The sequence below is a fragment of the Homo sapiens genome, chromosome 2 (assembly GCF_000001405.40).
Source record: "Homo sapiens chromosome 2, GRCh38.p14 Primary Assembly".
Lineage (NCBI taxonomy): Eukaryota > Metazoa > Chordata > Mammalia > Primates > Hominidae > Homo > Homo sapiens.
Genome location: NC_000002.12, coordinates 96,122,597 through 96,139,798, shown reverse-complemented (window position 1 = coordinate 96,139,798; position 17,202 = coordinate 96,122,597). Strand labels below are relative to the sequence as shown.

The 17,202-nt window shown below is 53.1% G+C and overlaps 1 protein-coding gene across 4 annotated transcripts, besides 6 other annotated features; it reads left to right on the top strand.

Annotated features, from left to right (window-relative positions):
- Positions 393–482: a silencer, noted in NCBI's record as "silent region_11752". NCBI's record gives its function as "represses an Ori minimal core promoter by ATAC-STARR-seq in GM12878 lymphoblastoid cells {active_cell/tissue: GM12878}" and the evidence as "EXISTENCE:reporter gene assay evidence [ECO:0000049][PMID:35858748]".
- On the top strand, positions 1,235–16,981 carry ASTL (astacin like metalloendopeptidase). Of its 4 annotated transcripts, NM_001002036.4 has the most exons (9): positions 1,297–1,417; positions 2,099–2,224; positions 4,387–4,448; positions 5,741–5,834; positions 6,257–6,374; positions 7,078–7,259; positions 9,654–9,735; positions 9,821–9,975; positions 15,528–16,981. In NM_001002036.4, exons 1-9 carry the CDS (start codon positions 1,363–1,365, stop codon positions 15,947–15,949), a joined length of 1,296 nt encoding a protein of 431 aa, NP_001002036.3. In that variant the 5' UTR covers positions 1,297–1,362; the 3' UTR covers positions 15,950–16,981. The 4 variants fall into 4 exon arrangements, with proteins under 4 accessions (XP_011509509.1, XP_011509507.1, XP_011509510.1 ...); XM_011511207.3 differs by having other exon boundaries at positions 1,235–2,224; positions 9,875–9,975; XM_011511205.3 differs by having other exon boundaries at positions 1,235–2,224.
- Positions 1,373–1,442: an enhancer, noted in NCBI's record as "active region_16190". NCBI's record gives its function as "activates an Ori minimal core promoter by ATAC-STARR-seq in GM12878 lymphoblastoid cells {active_cell/tissue: GM12878}" and the evidence as "EXISTENCE:reporter gene assay evidence [ECO:0000049][PMID:35858748]".
- Positions 3,783–3,832: an enhancer, noted in NCBI's record as "active region_16189". NCBI's record gives its function as "activates an Ori minimal core promoter by ATAC-STARR-seq in GM12878 lymphoblastoid cells {active_cell/tissue: GM12878}" and the evidence as "EXISTENCE:reporter gene assay evidence [ECO:0000049][PMID:35858748]".
- Positions 4,684–5,183: an enhancer, noted in NCBI's record as "H3K4me1 hESC enhancer chr2:96800355-96800854 (GRCh37/hg19 assembly coordinates)". NCBI's record gives its function as "activates a minimal SCP1, AML or CMV promoter by ChIP-STARR-seq in naive H9 embryonic stem cells {active_cell/tissue: H9 hESC(naive)}" and the evidence as "EXISTENCE:reporter gene assay evidence [ECO:0000049][PMID:30033119]".
- Positions 6,737–7,237: an enhancer, noted in NCBI's record as "H3K4me1 hESC enhancer chr2:96798301-96798801 (GRCh37/hg19 assembly coordinates)". NCBI's record gives its function as "activates a minimal SCP1, AML or CMV promoter by ChIP-STARR-seq in primed H9 embryonic stem cells {active_cell/tissue: H9 hESC(primed)}" and the evidence as "EXISTENCE:reporter gene assay evidence [ECO:0000049][PMID:30033119]".
- Positions 8,240–8,469: an enhancer, noted in NCBI's record as "active region_16188". NCBI's record gives its function as "activates an Ori minimal core promoter by ATAC-STARR-seq in GM12878 lymphoblastoid cells {active_cell/tissue: GM12878}" and the evidence as "EXISTENCE:reporter gene assay evidence [ECO:0000049][PMID:35858748]".
- Positions 16,982–17,202: the final 221 nt, after the last annotated feature.

Sequence of the window (17,202 nt, the reverse complement as noted above, 5' to 3'; positions counted from 1 at the left end):
TCATCTTAAGTGGTCAGCCTTGTGCATTTGTTTTTTGATGGGTCCTATTCTTTATTTTACTTATTTTTTCTAGGTTTACTGAGGCATAATCGACAAATAAAAGTAGTATATGTTTAAGTATACAACGTGATGTTTTGACATATGCATACCTTGTGAAATGATGACCACAACAAGCTAACTAGCATATCCATGGTGTGTATCCTGACATCTGTCAATACCCTGCCCTGGCAGCAGGGCGTCTGCCTCCATCATGGTCTCCCTGTGATTCTGATTCCTATCTTTGGAGAAGCTCTGGATTCCAGGCACAGTGGGAATGCTGAAAGGTCCTTGTGGACAATAGCTATTCTTCTTGGCTCTGTCGCTTCCCTTCACTGGGTGCAGGTGACTGTGGGGGTGTCCCCAAATGCTGCCCAGCGCTGACATGCTCCGCCTCTGGGATTTCAATCCAGGTGGGGCCCTGAGTGACCTGGCTCTGGGGCTCAGGGGTATGGAGGAGGGGGGATATAGGTAAGGAGTTTAAATTTCCAAATCTGTGAAATGGGAATAAATACTGACTGATCATGCCAGCTGCTGTGGGATTAGGGGGTGGACTCCCTGCGAGGCTCTGGGCATCTGGGGGTTCCACCTTTCCCACATGGCAGGCTTTCTAGGGTGCTGCACACTGTTCAGTTTGTGAAATTTCCTGGAGCCCTGTGCTTGTGATAGTGAACTTTTCTATATGTGTACTAAAATAAAAGCTTGTGAAAGTGCAGTGACCTTTTCCTCCTTCCGGAGATACACGGGGGGCGCCCCAGGGTCTCAGGCAGCTTTCCCCATGTCTAAGCACAGGCCGGGGTAGGAAAGGGGGTCTCCCTCGCTGGAGGAATAGGTCTATACCTGGGCTGGGGCCTCAGCTAGGCCTGGAGCAACTTTCTGCGATGTTTCTCTGCCCCCTGGAGGCAGGAAGGAACCTCAGAAGAGCCACACTCCCAAGCGGGCCCCTCCTGTCTTTCACCTGCTACAGCCAGGAAGGGGACTGGGCTGGGGTGGGAACCACAGGTAGGCATCGGAGGGGCTGCCAGTAGACCTGGTTTGGGTGGCGCTGCCGGTAGAGCTGGTTGGGGCGGGGCTGCAGGTGGAGCTGGTTGGGGCGGGGCTGCAGGTGGAGGTGGTTGGGGCGGGGCTGCAGGTGGAGATGGTTGGGGCGGGGCTGCAGGTGGAGGTGGTTGGGGCGGGGCTGCAGGTGGAGGCGGTTGAGGGGAGCAAGGTGGGAGGTGGAGCAGCTGCTATTTAAGAGGGGGTGGTGGTGCCGGTTCTGCAATTAGGTTACTGTGTCTTGCTGGGGCTTGGTCTTGTTTGCTGAAGGGGCAGCAGGGCTCTACCATGGAGGGTGTAGGGGGTCTCTGGCCTTGGGTGCTGGGTCTGCTCTCCTTGCCAGGTAAGCTGGCTGCCTGTCCCTCCTGCTGCTGGCTCCAGCCTGGAGAAAGCTGGGGAGAGGCTAGAAGGTTGTGGCTGGAGCCTGCAGGGATTGTAGCTGAGCTCAGTAGCTCAGAGCACAGAGCTCTCCAGGGTTATTCTAGAAGTCAGCTCCTGGGGGGCCAAGGGGAGGCCTCCTGAAGGCCCTGGAAGCAGAGGGCCTGCCTGGCAGAAGATAAGTGTTGTGCCCCAGGCCTACTTGTCTTGGGGTGGGGGTAGGCTGTAAGTCCCCACTCCAGCCTGGTCAGGCAGGGAGTCATCCAGGCTGAGCCCATTGTCCAAGAGCCTGGGCTGAGAGAGAGTCATAAGGTGGGGTCTGAGGCTGGCCCTGCCCGTCACGGGCGTCAGAACCCGAGGTCTGTCCTGCCTCCTTCCTTCCTGCCCCTCCTCTACCTCATAGGTGGGGCACATGGTCCCTTTTGGTCCCCCTAAGGGAGCTCCTTCCCTGAGGTCATCTAGACCTTGGCACCAGTTGGGGTTGAGCAGGGAGGCTGGGAAGGCTCCTTGGCTTTGTGCTGGAGCCTACTCTTCCTAGGGACTGAGTCTTACCGTCTGATCCCCCACACCCACCCCATGTCCTGCTGTCTGGTCTCACCGGTGGGTGCTCCAGGCATCTGTGTATGCCCCTGTCTGTCTGGACCAGGTGTGATCCTAGGAGCGCCCCTGGCCTCCAGCTGCGCAGGAGCCTGTGGTACCAGCTTCCCAGATGGCCTCACCCCTGAGGGAACCCAGGCCTCCGGGGACAAGGACATTCCTGCAATTAACCAAGGTGAGGGCACTACATCTTCTCACGGCCTGGAGGGGCACGACGTTATGTAGTGTGAAAACCACACCGAACACTCAGAAATGCAGAGCCTGGGAGGAAATGGACCAGCTTACTCTGGGCTCTAAGTGGTTTTTAAGAGATGGAGTGGTGTTGCTATATTGCCCCGGCTGGTCTTGAACTCCTGGCCTTAAGTGATCTTCCTGCCTCTGCCTCCCGAGCAGCTGGGACTACAGGTGTGAATGGGTGGAAATTCTATGGGCAATTGCTTAAGTCTACTCTTTCTTTTTGTATCTTTCTTAGTGGATTGTTACTTTTATAAGAAAAACCAAGCTCTTAAAGGGCCTGGGCGTGGAGCTAAGCGGTTAGTCGCAGTCTGAGATTGTCAGCCACCCTGTGCAGGACTGTCTGCAGGTGTGATTAAGAAGTCTGAAGCTCAGCTGGGTGCGGTGGCTCTCGCCTGTAGTCCCAGCACTTTGGGAGGCTGAGGCGGGCAGATCATGAGGTCAGGAGATCGAGACCATCCTGGCTAACACAGTGAAACCCCGTCCCCACCAAAAATACAAAAATTAGCCGGGCGTGGTGGCGGGCGCCTGTAGTCCCAGCTACTCAGGAGGCTGAGGCAGGAGAATGGCATGAACCTGGGAGGCGGAGCTTGCAGTGAGCTGAGATTGCGCCACTGCACTCCAGCCTGGGCGACAGAGCATCTCACAAAAAACAAAAAACAAAAGTCAGGCTCAGGGCCTTGCTGTCTGGGGATGTCAGCTGAGGAATGAGGGTGTATAAATAGCCTGAACAAAGCCAGTTGAAATGGAGACTGGAGTTCAGATGTTGGAGCAATGAGGGCTGAAGCACTCAGGGTTGAAGCAATCGGGCTGAACAGGGGACAACCTTGCCCTAAGGGTGGGTGAGATCCTACCAGATGTGGTAGCCACTGTGTGATCTGCCCCCTTCTTCCTCTGTGAGCTGACTTGGGAGCCCAGCGCCAGCTGAGCCTTGAGCCCCAGGCACCATCCCACCCCTGGATCACCGTGAGTGGTCTGCAGGTAACCAGAACCAATGGAGAAAACTCCCAAATGCTGGTGACCCCAACAACTATCCTATCACCTACGGTGAGGCTGTCTCATAAGGGCTGCCCGTGCCTTACCCAGTGCTTTCCTGGGAAGCACCTGCCCATCTCCAGCCACTGTGAATATGGCTAATGCTGCACAGCTGTCTGCCTCCCAAAACTGGCCCTTGGCCAGAAGGAGCTGCCTCAGCCAGAGATGCCCGGGGGCTACTCCCTTGTCTGCCCAAGGTGGCCTACTGTGACTTCTAAGGGACAGGAGTCTGGCTCCTGCCTAAAGGTGGTACAAGTCAGCGGTGTCATTTGTGGTCTGGAGCGCCCATGGGATCTGGCTGAGGCTGTGCCTGGGTTCTTCCCTGCCTTCTCTCCTGCTTCCCTCACTCCCCCTGTGAGTCACTTGTGGGAGACCCGGCTCAGGGAGAGATGAGAAGCAGAGGGACTAAGAGGGGAGAGGGGCTTGCGAGAGCCGGTATTTGCCTGCCTCTGATGGTGGAACAAATTTGTGGAACAAAATTGCCACCTCAAGGGGCCTGAATATAACAGATGGGTGGGGAATAGATGGGGGATGAGGTGGGCAGGAGACCCCAGGGCCTGTTCTGAGGAGTGTGGCTCAGGCTGGAAGAAGCCACTGCTTCCTGACAGCAGGGACCCGGGCTTGGGACTGGATTGCGTGGGTCATGGGCTGTGTTTGAGCAGGGGAAGGCTGCAGTCCAGCCGAGAAGCCTTGCACACTCAGGGACTGTGTGACTTCCCTGAGGCCACGCAGGCTCAGTGCTCAGGGAACCTCTAGCTCCACAGTCAGGAGAGGGACAGACCCCAAGCCTCAGTCTCCTTTGTCTTTGTCCTCCAGCCCCCTCACACCTGCAGACAGTCCGCACAGGGTGGCTGACATTCTCAAACATCAACTAATGACTTAACTAAACACCCAGGCTCGGAGAGCCGATGACCTATACTTTTATCAGGCTATTTAAGAACTTATAAAAGTAACAATCCACTAGGAAAGACACAAGAATAGACTTAAGTAAGTAGGGATTTGCTTGGCCTGTCCCACGAGTCAGTGTTCTGGGGGACATGGGCCAACACGTCCTTCTTCCTTTCCCAGGGCTCATCCTGGAAGAAACCCCAGAGAGCAGCTTCCTCATCGAGGGGGACATCATCCGGCCGGTGAGTGCACACACTGACGTGTGTGGGTGCGGATAAGCCCACAGTTGGCGACAGGTCCTCTGAGCCCACCCTGGATGCCATGGGGCCTGATGTGTGAGGGACATACATAGCTTGGTAGATGCCTCTTTTTGTCAAGGTCAGAGCGACTGTTCTGTTAGGAAATAGGAATAAGCCAGCCTGAATGCTAAGGAAGGCTGGTATCTGAAGTGCTGGCACAGTCAGCCTGAGAGGGCTTCCTGAAGGAGGAGGTTTGAACACTTGACCCAGCTTGGTACCCTGCCCAGGGGAGGTGCTCAGCACTCGGGAGGTGCTCAGATAAAGGAAGAGATGAGCAAGGGTTGGCAGAGTGGCCAGTGGCAGATAAAGGGCCTGGTGGCAGTGGCGACCTAGGGATGGTGGAACAAGGAGTGATGTTGAGCCTGACCATCTTGGCTGTGGTCGAGGGGCCGCATCTGAAGGGAGAAGGTTGCTGGGGATTGGGGCGCCTTGCTAACAGAAAAGGGAACACTGTGCCCAGGATGGCAGCCATGTGTTTCAGGCAACTGCGAATGGCAGAAGGCTCCTGAATAGGACAGTGACCCAGGGGAAGGCAAGACTGTCCTGTTGGAGGCTGCCACTGACGGCACAGCCTCTGGCTGGGCAGGAGAGCCAGAGGCTGGCCCAAGGCTGCCCAGGAACTCCGGGGGCAGGGCAGACCCTCTGGGTTATGCAGTGAGTGCTCGGGCAGGTGGTGTGCGACCACCCGGAGCAGAATCAAATGCCTCCAGCCGATGGCACAGGCACGCTGGGGTGCTGTGGAGCCTGGGCACCGAAGGGCTCTGGTTGCTGGAGAGCAGAAGTAAGCAGCCGAGGCCAGGGTGCTGCCTCACTTTCACTCCATATGGCTCTGTTCCCATGATCGTCCCATGTTCAGGGAAGCCTGGTGGCTGTTCCCCTCTGGAAGGGGCACTGTCAACATGCTGGAGTGGGGCTGCTGGCCCAAGCCCTTCTGATTCAGGGCACCCTGGGGTGCTGGGCCTCCTAGCCAACATCCTCAGGGACTAATCTCTTGTTTGCTTGAGATTGAAATTCTTTCATCATAGGCCAAGGGACTGTCTTGTGCATCAAGGTTCATGTAGCTGGCCCCTTGCCTTCCACAGCTCTGTCCCATCTCTAATGGTCCCCCATTCCCATGCACACAGGTCCTGACTCCCACATCTTTGGGGTTCTGGTGCCCTGGGGTGTGGTACCCTTGGGGCACAAAGCTTGGGTGGCCTCTGTCCCCAGGGGTTGAACTGCTGCTCTCTCCTCAGAGTCCCTTCCGACTGCTGTCAGCAACCAGCAACAAATGGCCCATGGGTGGTAGTGGTGTCGTGGAGGTCCCCTTCCTGCTCTCCAGCAAGTACGGTGAGTGAGCATGGCGCGCTCCCTCCCTGCCTCAGCCCCTTCTTCCTAATGCGGCAGGTGTTCCTCTCTTCCCTTTTCCTCTTACACCATCACATCCCTTCCACCTCCCCACCCGAAGAACCTGTCCACAGATGCCCTTCTGTTGCTGAAGGTCTCCTGAGTAGGGAGGGTTAAAATCTGATGGGAAGGTATGTCGAGTGGGGATCTGGTTCCCCTTGAGACCATGCGGTGCAGAGGACAGTGACCTACCCAAGGCCACACAGCCAGGGTCTGTCTGGGGCCCAGCTTCTTCCTGGCACCACTAAGCTGCCCTTTCTTGATGCTATTTTGGGAGAGTGAGTTCAGAGCTCTGCTCCCAGACCCTCAGGTAGAGCTCAAAGACCACCAGGGCTCTGGGGGCTCAGCCAGGTGGTGTCTTCCAGATGAGCCCAGCCGCCAGGTCATCCTGGAGGCTCTTGCGGAGTTTGAACGTTCCACGTGCATCAGGTTTGTCACCTATCAGGACCAGAGAGACTTCATTTCCATCATCCCCATGTATGGGTAAGTGCCGGGGCCAGGATGCGTATCTCAGCTCGCTTCTGCGTTCAGCCCGGAATTAACTTGGCCATTGTCTAAAATGTATTCCTGGGCCCATCCTCCAGGGCTCAGTCTCCCTGCCCACCCTGAGGGGTCTGCCAAGTGTGAGCTGGACCTCCAGGGCGGAATGTGGGAAAGGGATGGGAACGGTGCTAGACCCTCCATTTACAAAGCCCTCCTCTCCCGGGGGACTCCATGAGGTGGTGAGGAGAGGAGGTTTTGCGGGGCAGACAGTGCGTGAGTCACTGAGTCCTGGCAAGTCCCCTAACTTCTGAGCCTCTTCTGTCCCCTCTGGGGTGCGAGTGGTGGCGATACCTGCTTCCTAGCTTGTCAGGGGCCTGAGGCAATTTGTGTGAAAGCCTTGGCTTAGGGCTGACCAGGAGGGTGTGCTCACTTAGTAAGCTGCTTCTGTCCTCTGTGTTCATATATCAGTTTCTGCAGCCTCCCTGCAGCCCAGGCTGGTGATGGGGGTCCGGTATGGCCATTTCACAGAAGTCCAGGCAGTAAAGGGGCCTGGAGAATGGTGAACCTGAGACTAGAGCCCAGAGTGGGGCCTGCCTGTTGGGAGTTTGTCTATCTTGTGTTGTGTGGGGAGGGAGAGCCCAGGTCTGTATGTCCGGAGGGATCTGGGCTGGCACTTACCCCACTTGCTCTCATCACCCTGCAGGTGCTTCTCGAGTGTGGGGCGCAGTGGAGGGATGCAGGTGGTCTCCCTGGCGCCCACGTGTCTCCAGAAGGGCCGGGGCATTGTCCTTCATGAGCTCATGCATGTGCTGGGCTTCTGGCACGAGCACACGCGGGCCGACCGGGACCGCTATATCCGTGTCAACTGGAACGAGATCCTGCCAGGTGAGCCAGGCCACACGCAGGACAGGCTGGTGCCGGGGAGGGGACAGCACGGCTTGGGCCCAAGTCGCCTGGTCCCCATGGGTGAGGCTATCCATCCTCCCCATCACCTGCCTGCTTCCTGTGGGGAAGGTGGGGGTCTCACTTCTGTCTGGTACCTGGTACCTGGAGGTGGTACTCTGGGTGCTGCTCTGGGCCCCAGGCCTTCCTCTACCCACCTGTAGTTGTGCCTTAGCTAGGGCGCCACCACCTGCTTTGTCTCGCTTCTCATCCCTGACACTGTCCTCTCCCTGGCGATGGGGCAGGCAGTGCCCATGATACCTGCTTGTTGAGTACTCTAGCAGCGGTCTCATGTACCAGATACCACCACCATGGACTGGGGCTGTGTGCCAGCTTGGGGAGCTGAGCCAAAGTGGGACCCCAAGGTAGCAGGCTGCACAAGCCAAGTGCTGGGCCACGGGCTGAGGGCAGCACTGTGGGGCTGGGACATGTGCCAGTGGTGCCAGTGAGCAGGCAGAAGGAACACAGACTGTGGCCATGGGAGAGTGGAGGCTGGAGGCAGGTGGGCTGTGGTTCCTGTGCTGGCAGCGGCTGTGTGGCGCCGGGGATCAGATCCTGGTGATGGTGGGGTCTCTCTCATTGTGGGCTTGATGGTCTGGTTCAGGAGGCAGGAAGAGCCCCACGAGGGAGGGGCAGAGGAGGTTTGGGTGGGAGTCTGGCTTAGGGGTTGGAGCAGGAAGGCCTACCGCAGGTGGAGGGCGTCCAGCACGAGACCTTTCAGGGCTGTCATGTTAGCCAGGTGAGGCAGCCAGGGAAGCTGCCTGGGCCCAAGGACCTTCCCAGGCCCCAAACACCGCTTTCTCAGTGGCTCTCAGCAAACATGAGTCACAGAGAAAGGGGTGACGGGGCACGTGGGTAGCACCTCACAAAGGGGGAGGGGATGGATATTGAATCAGACCAGGCTGGGGAGGTTGTGAGGGGGGTGACAAGTGACTCTGTACCCTGAAAACAGACTGATCCTTCCCAATGCTCGTGGAACAGTTGTGAAAGTTTACCCTGATAATTTTATGATATACCATGAAATGCCATGAAAACCTGCAACTCTGAAAGTAGACCAATGTAAACATTCTGATCATGATATAAAGTAGAAACCGATACATCAAAACCGAAAGCTTCTCCTATTCAGAAATTGAAAAAAACAACAAAACTTTCTTTCAGCTCTGGAGTTAAAGTACAGCAATTCTAAAAAAAAATCATGAAAGACTAGAAAAGCCAATGGTTCACAGCTAAAGCAATGCTCAGAGAAAATGTGTAGACTTACGTATCAGTAAACAGAACAAATTGAGCATGTCAACCCAAGTTAAATGAAAGCAGGAGGGAATTTCAAAAGGTAAAAGCAGAAATTGAGTTGGAAAACAGCACTAATAATTATTCCTAATGATAAAACAGGCTAAAACACGGGTTCCCCAGTGGAAAAAATGAGAACATATTTGTTCCCATTTAGGTTAATATGTTCTCATTAGGTTAACATGTACAGAAACTGCCAGGGCAGACACATTAATAACAGTAATTAACTGTTGTGGGGCGGGGAGGTGGGAACTCAGGAAGCAGGGGATGGAATAGACTTTTACTACATCTCAATATTTGACTTTTGAACCAAATGAATATACTACTTATTCAAAAGTATGTTTAATGAATTTTTAAAAAGAAGTAAGAGCTCAAGAGGCAGCTATGTTAGGCAGGTGGTGGGGTATGAAGGTGCTGGAGGGCTCATTTGCTCCATGGAGAGGAAGCTGCTGTGACCGAGGTGGCGTGTATGCGTGGCTGGCTGGCTGGATTTGGGAGGATTGGGGGAGCAATCCCTCTGAAGGCCTGGGGGACTTGAGTGAGGGGGAGATGGGCTCCAAATCTGGGGAAGTGTTGTGGCCTGACACAGGAAGAACAGGTGGGCCTGTGACTGGGGACTAGGGCATCACCACTGCAGATGACAGCGTGGCAGCTTTTTAAAGCTGGGTCAAGGAATAGACATTTCATCTGGGGTGGGAGGGACATCTGAGACCCTGAGCAGTGTGGGACCCGTGGCAGCTGTGGCTTATGCAGAGACCAGCCCCGTGCAGACTGAATATGCAAGGAGGAAGGATGGGTGGAGGGAACAGCTAGGAGGTGATGGTTGGCCAGCCATGGGGTCCCTGTGCCTCTACCTCAACTAGTACAGGTTGGGGATCCTCCCAGGGCTGGGAAAGTGGGACTGGTACCAGAAGCAGCATGGTGGCTGTGGGCTCAGCCCCTCAGCTTGGGTGAGTTATGAGCTCCCAGAAGACTCTCCCAGCCATTGCCTGCCCTTTCTTGCCTGCCCTCTTTATATATCAGTAAGTTGTATTGTTTTTGTATTTTTAGGCTTTGAAATCAACTTCATCAAGTCTCAGAGCAGCAACATGCTGACGCCCTATGACTACTCCTCTGTGATGCACTATGGGAGGTGAGGACCCTGCCTTCTTCTCCCTCTGCTTCCCCCAGCCTCTCCCGTGGTGATCTGGACTCAGGGGTCTCCCGCTGGGTTCCAGGCTCGCCTTCAGCCGGCGTGGGCTGCCCACCATCACACCACTTTGGGCCCCCAGTGTCCACATCGGCCAGCGATGGAACCTGAGTGCCTCGGACATCACCCGGGTCCTCAAACTCTACGGCTGCAGCCCAAGTGGCCCCAGGCCCCGTGGGAGAGGTGAGTGGCATGGCAGGAAGGTGACTTGAACCTGGAGAAGGCGCCTGTGCTCTAATGGTGTCAGGGAGGGTGACAAGGAGGGAGATGAGGTTGCAGGGGGAGCAGGGTGAGATCACGGGGGCTTGCCACAACGACGCAGAACAAGCACTTGAGGAAAGTTAACACTCACTATGACTCAACTGTAACCAAAGAGGAATAGGGCTCACTTGCTTAGCCTAGATAATAAACATCTACCAAAAACCTAGAACAAAAGTTAAGGGTAAAACATTAAAACTGGGACCAAGACAAGTTTTCCCACCATTGTCCCATCTACTCCACATTGTGTGGCAGTGGAGGTCCTGGGCACCGAGGTAGAGCCAAAGAAACTAAAGGTCCGAGGATTGGAAAGGAAGCAAAAAAATCGTTCATAATAGATGATTACCTGTATTGAAAGCAACAATCTATAAACAAGTTATTAGAACTAATAAGAATTAGAAAAGGTAAATACAGTTAATATAAAAATCATATTTCTGTACACCCAGTTAGAAAACACAATTGTTAGTAAACATACCATTATAATAGCAATCATAAAGGTCCCAAGGAATAAATCTGACAGCTGTATCAAACATTTGAGGAAAAATGAACCTTTATTAAAATCGTTAAATAATACTTAAATATAGATAAATCTGTTATTGAAAGGAAGGCAATGTTATAAAAATTCAGTCTTCCCAAATTAATCTATAAATTCCCACTCAAAATAAGTTTGATCTTGACAGAGTGATTTTTTTTTTCTTTTTTTTTTTTAAAGATGGAGTCTCACTCTGTCACCCAGGCTGGAGTGCAGTGGCACAATCTCGGCTCACTGCAGTCTCTGCCTCCGAGGTTCAAGTGATTCTTGTGCCTCAATCTCCTGAGCAGCTGGGCTTACAGGTGCGTGCCACCACACCCAACTAATTTTTGTATTTTTAGTGGGGACAGGGTTTCACCATGTTGGCCAGGCTGGTCTTGAACTCCTGACCGCAAGTGATGCGCCTGCCTTGGCCTCCCGATTGACAGGGTGATTATAAAGTTTTTATATGAGAATATGAAAGGTCAATAATAGCCAAGACATCCCTGAAGGAAAAACTAAAAAGACTTGTCCTAGCAGATGTTAGTCATCTAGTTCATGAAACGTCTTTACATAAATGCATAGCACTGGAGCAAGGCTAGACAATTGCCCGCTGGAACAGAATCAAATTTAGAAACAGATTCCATTCAGAAGCAGAGCCTTGATGAAGGGCCATTGATGGTCACTATGGAAGGACAGTTAAGTTACTTAGTTGTCTTAGAGCCATTTAGCATCTATTTAAAAATCCCTAACTCATATCATGCGCAAATAACTCTGGATGCATGAAAGACACATGTAATAAAAACTTTAACATGTTTAGAAAAAAAATATATAGTAAGATCTCTTCATGACCTTGGGATAGGGAAGGATCACTTAAATGAGATACAGCACTAATTGTAAAACTAGAAAGATTCATAAATTCAACTACATTAATTATAACTTTGTCCAAAGGCACCAAAAAGAAAGTGAAAATACAGGTTACAAATAGACTTTTTTTTTTTTTTTTTGAGACAGTTTCACTCTTTTTGCCCAGGCTGGAGTGCAATGGCACGATCTTGGCTCACTGCAACTTCTGCCTCCCAGGTTCAAGTGATTCTCCTGCGTCAGCCTCCCTTGTAGCTGGGATTACAGTCACGCACCACCATGCCTGGCTAATTTTGTATTTTTATTAGAGATGGGGTTTCACCATGTTGGCTAGGCTGGTCTTGAGCTCCTGACCTCAGGTGATCCCCCTGCCTCAGCTTCCCAAAGTGCTGGGATTACAGGTGTGAGCCACTGTGCCTGGCCCCAATATATTTTTTTGCAACACATAATTTGTATACAAAATACATAAAGAACTACACATTAATATAAGAACAAACCAGCTGAGTGTGATGGCTCATGCCTGTAATCACAGCACTTTGGGAGGCTGAGGTGGGTGGATCGCTTGAGCTTAGGAGTTCAAAACCAGCCTGGACAACATATAGTAAGACCCCGTCTCTTAAAAAAAATACAAAAATTAGTGGGATAGTGGTGTGCACCTGTGGTCCCACCTACTCAGGGAGGCTGAGGCAGGAGAATCACTTGAACCTGGGAGGCGGAGGTTGCAGTGAGCCAAGATCGTGCCACTGCACTCCAGTCTGGGTAACAGAGCCAGACTCTGTCGCAAAGAAAAAAATCAAATAGAAAAATGGGAAGAGACTTAATAGACATCTCAGAGACCAAATGGGAAACACACTAAAGATGTTCAACCTCAGTAATTGAGGAAATGCAAATGAAGTCTACAATACCATTCTATAGCCACTAAACTAGACACTTTAAAGCCCAATAATACCAAATACTGTTAAGGATATAGAGTGATGAATGGAAATGCTAGACCCTACTGATAGGAATATGAGTGGCTGCAACCACTTTGGAAAACAATTTGACATCCTGGAAGGTTGAAGTGTACATAACCCCTGACCCAGATTCTACTCCTAGGTCATCTTGCATGCAAATGCCCTCTCCCTCCCCTCACTACCTTACCTGCTTCTGCCCCCAGCCCCAGGTAATCACTAACCTACTTTGCCTCTCCGGATTTGCCTAGACATTTCCCATAAGTGGAATCATAACACATAGCCTCTTGTGTCTGGCTTCTTAATGTTTTCAAGGTTCATCCATGTTGTAGCATGTATCAATAACATCGCTGAATAACATTCCGTTGGATAGATATGCCATACTTAGTCACCAGTTGAGGGACACTTGGGTTTTTACTTTGCAGCTATTATGAATAGAGCTACTATGGTCATTTATGTACAAGATTTTGTGTCAACATGTCATTTCTTTTGGGTATACAGCTAGGAATGGAATTGCTAGGTCCTACAATAACTCCATGTTTAACTGCTAAGATTTTTTTTTTTTTTTGAGATGGAGTCTCACTCTGTCGCCCAGGCTGGAGTGCAATGATGCAATCTTGCCTCATTACAACCTCCACCTCCAGGGTTCAAGCAATTCTCCTGCCTCAGCCTCCCAAGTAGCTGGGACTACAGGTATGTGCCACCATGCCCGGCTAATTTTTGTATTTTTAGTAGAGATGGGGTTTCACCATGTTGGTCAGGCTGGTCTCGAACTCCTGACCTCGTGATCTACCCGTCTCGGCCTCCCAAAGTGCTGGGATTACAGGTGTGAGCCACTGTGCCTAAGATATTTTCAAGTGGATGCACCATTTTTATTCCCACCAGCGGTATACGAGGGTTCCGATTTCTCCCATCCTTGCTGACACTTCTTATCTATCATTTTGGTTAGAACCAGCCTAGTGAGTGTGAAGTAGTATCTCATTGTAGTTCTGAGTTGCATTTCCCTAATAACTAATGATGAACATCTTTTAATGTGCTTGTTGGTCATCTGCATCTTTGGAGAATGTTCATATCCTCTGTCTGTTTTTCTTCAATTGGGTTCTCTCTTCTGAGTTGTAAGAGTTCTTTATATATTCTAGACACATGTCCCTCATCAGATGTTGCCCTTAAATATTTCATCACTTCCTATGTTTTTTGTTTTTCCCACTTTTTAATAATGTCCTTTGAACACTAACATCTTAAATTTGGAAGTCCAACTGACCAATTTTGTCACTCCTTTTTGGTGTCTATGACGCCTTTGCCTAACCCGAGGTCATGGAGATTTGCTCCTGTTTCCATGTAAGTCTTAGTTTCAGGTTTTACATTTAGGTATATGACCTATTTGGAGTGAACCCTTGAACAGGGTGTAAGGAAGGGGTTCAACTTCATTCTTCATGTAACTAGCCAGTTGTTCCAGCACCATTCTTTCCCCTACACTTTTTTTACTGTACTAAACATCTAAAAAAAAAAATCCCTAAAGGACAGATGTGGTGAGAAATTTGTGCGTAATTTCTTTTGTTGAGATGGAGTCTTGTGCACCTCAGCCTCCCGAGTAGCTAGGATTAGAGGTGAGCACCACCATGCTGGCTACGTTTTGTATTTTTAGTAGAGACAGGGTTTTACCATGTTGGCCAGGCTGGTCTTGAACTCCCAAACTCTAGTGATCTGCCTGCCTCAGCCTCCCAAAGTACTGGGATTACAGATGTGAGCCAGCATGCTTGGCCTTGTATGCAATTTTTCTAGAGGTTTGACTACCATGACTAGGGAATTGGGAGGTGGTGGAAAGGCCTGTGGTCAAGGGCTGGGTCTATCAAGATGGTGAGCATGGGAGCACATTCAGATGCTGGAACCATGACCTGCTGGAGGAGAGGGGTGGATATAGCGGGGAGAAAGGACACCCAGAATGTTTGGAAAAAGGCTGCACATGGTGGGAGCTGAGGCATTTCCTTGGATCTAGTGGGAAGGAAGAAGACAGGAATAGACCCAAGTCTGCAGGAGGATCTTGATGTATGGATGCTGGGGACTCTGTTACATAAGGAGAGGTGAGGCCACCAGAGGTAGGGAGAAGGGGATGGAAACAAAGGAGAAGATGTGCCTCCGCTGACTGGAGAGCAGGAGACACCTGGTAGAGGTGGGGGATGCTAGCGTTCTAGGGCTGGGTCTGGCGGCAGGTGTGACAGCAGGGAAAGGTGGTTGAGGCTACCTCCGAGGGGTGACTGCCATGGGGGCTGTGAAGCCTATGTAGGTGGGAGTGATCTGAAGTGGGGAGGGCTGGTGTAGGATGATGCTGGGTCTGGGGAGTATCTGCAGAGCCGCGCTACCTCAGTGTGCACAGGTGGAGGCGGTACTGTGGAGGGTGGCCCCCAGGAACAGGCTGCAGTGGTGGTAGCTCCTGGTGCTGACCAGGTCTGGAGGGCGGTGTGGGCTGTGAGGCTAACAGGACCTGGTAGAAGAGTCACCAGTTGAAGTGTGGGAGTGAGGATTTGGTCAGGGTCAGCTGAGGGAAGAGGCTCCTGGTGAAGCCCTCGCTGCATGCGCAGGAGGAACTGGGATGGGAGGCAGTGCTGAGGGGCTGGGGCCAGCCAGAGAACATGGGCTTGAATGAGGAAGAGTGCCCACAAAGAGGTGGGGTACAGTTGTAGTCTGGCATGACAGTGAAGAACAAGGAAGCCCCAACCTACCTCCTGGCACGGTGCAGGGTTTAGATGTGGCCATTAAGTGCAGGAACAGTTCTAGGGGAGGTCTTGGGTTCGGGGCAAGTGGTAGGGTATGGCCATAGGCAGAACAACCTGGGTGAAGGGTCCGGAAGGTGGGCGCTTTGGTGCTGGGTCAGGTGACTTAAGTGTCCCAGCAGTCTCGGGTGTGAATGGGGCAGTGGTGGAAGCCTGAGTGGACTGACATTCTGATGGTGACTTCAGGGGCCAGGCAGGGAAGAGATGGGATGGCTTCATTGTCCTGGTCTCTGGTAGGGTGGGAATCTGGGTCTTGGATGCACTAGGCCGTGGCATGGGTGGGCACCACTCCTGTGAGCTGAGCCAGCTCTGGGTCCGCACAGCTGGGCCACATGTCATCCTACAGTTCTGAGGTTCCACCTCCTGTCTTTTCTGTTGCAGGGTCCCATGCCCACAGCACTGGTAGGAGCCCCGCTCCGGCCTCCCTATCTCTGCAGCGGCTTTTGGAGGCACTGTCGGCGGAATCCAGGAGCCCCGACCCCAGTGGTTCCAGTGCGGGAGGCCAGCCCGTTCCTGCAGGGCCTGGGGAGAGCCCACATGGGTGGGAGTCCCCTGCCCTGAAAAAGCTCAGTGCAGAGGCCTCGGCAAGGCAGCCTCAGACCCTAGCTTCCTCCCCAAGATCAAGGCCTGGAGCAGGTGCCCCCGGTGTTGCTCAGGAGCAGTCCTGGCTGGCCGGAGTGTCCACCAAGCCCACAGTCCCATCTTCAGAAGCAGGAATCCAGCCAGTCCCTGTCCAGGGAAGCCCAGCTCTGCCAGGGGGCTGTGTACCTAGAAATCATTTCAAGGGGATGTCCGAAGATTAAGCCTGTGGCTTCTGTCCCCAAGTAGGGAGGGCATCCTCTGCCCAGTGGAGCTGGGTCGTCTACCTCTTGGCTCCTTTGGGCCACACCACTGTCTTCCAGCCCCAACCTACCACCCCATCTCAGAGGGCCAGGACTCTTCCCCTGTCTCTCTTCACTGTGTTCCCCTAAGGGCTCCTAGGGCCAGGGGTTCTTCTAGCTCTGCCACAGGGGAAGGCAGGCCTGGCTGTGCCTGCTCTTGACTTTTGCCCAGCCCTGGTGGATGCTGGGAATGGGAGGTGACATTCTCCAGGGACAGGTCCTGGAAGGGGTGGGGAAGAGGTAGGTTCCAGCCCCGCAGAACCCTGGAATCCCTCCTGTGCCTGAGGCCCTGCCCCCCAGCATGGACTAATGGTGTCCCTACCTCTCCCTCAGGGCAGCCCTGTGGCTGGGACCCTGGGAACAGCCTCCCATCCCACCCAACATGCCCAAGTGTGGGGGAATGTTCTACAGCAGTGTAGCCTCCAGCCCTTCTCTCCAGGAGGCTTTGAGAGCCCAACTTACTCCCCTGCAGAGCAGGAAGGTGGTAGGTCAAGTGTGGCCACCATTGGGGAGACGAGAAAGAAGTGGGGCCCCACCAGATTGCACAATGGGAACCTCAGCTGGCCCCTGAACAGAGGACTCAGTTGTCTCCACCCTACACCGCTATTCCCTGGAGCTCAGCCAGGCGCAGCCTTGGAAGGAGAAAGGGCTGGGGTTACCTGGCTTGTCCTCCTCCAGGAAAGCCCCCTTCCTCCTCTGCCCCAGCTCCCAGCCTGGCCTCCTCCAGGCAGGCCCTACTCCTCTGCCCCAGCTCCGGCTTTCCCCATGAGGTTTGTCCCAGGCATGAAGAAAGCATCCAGGGTGCCAATGAGTGGGCCTAGGCCAGAGGCCCCTCAGTCCCCAAGGGTACTGTTTTGGTGGCCTTTCAGAGGGTCAAGGAAGCCCTGCTTGGGGTAGAAGGGGCAGGAGCCCCACATGTTGGGGGAGGAAATAAAGTGGAGTGTGCTGTGCTGACCTTCCCACCTCCTGTGTGCCTTTAACACCCCTTGCCCTCTGGGGCCCCAGGTGGCTATCCCACCTCCCAGGGAAGACAAAGACTTCAGCGAGTGCTCCAGGGGTCCTGGCCAAGAAGCAGCAGGGCAGGGCTGAAGCTTGGAGTTCCCAAGTTCTGGGGAGAGGTTGCTGTTTGCCAGCCTTCTGGAGGGTCACGTGCTGGGGCCGCATTGAGGACATGG

Coding starts and splice junctions, on each gene's coding strand:
- ASTL (XM_011511205.3), top strand. CDS start 2,029: ATGTCCTGCTGTCTGGTCTCACCGGTGGGTGCTCCAGGCATCTGTGTA. Junction 9,736..9,820: donor TCTGTGATGCACTATGGGAG/GTGAGGACCCTG, acceptor GCTGGGTTCCAG/GCTCGCCTTCAGCCGGCGTG. Junction 9,976..15,527: donor CCCCAGGCCCCGTGGGAGAG/GTGAGTGGCATG, acceptor TTTCTGTTGCAG/GGTCCCATGCCCACAGCACT.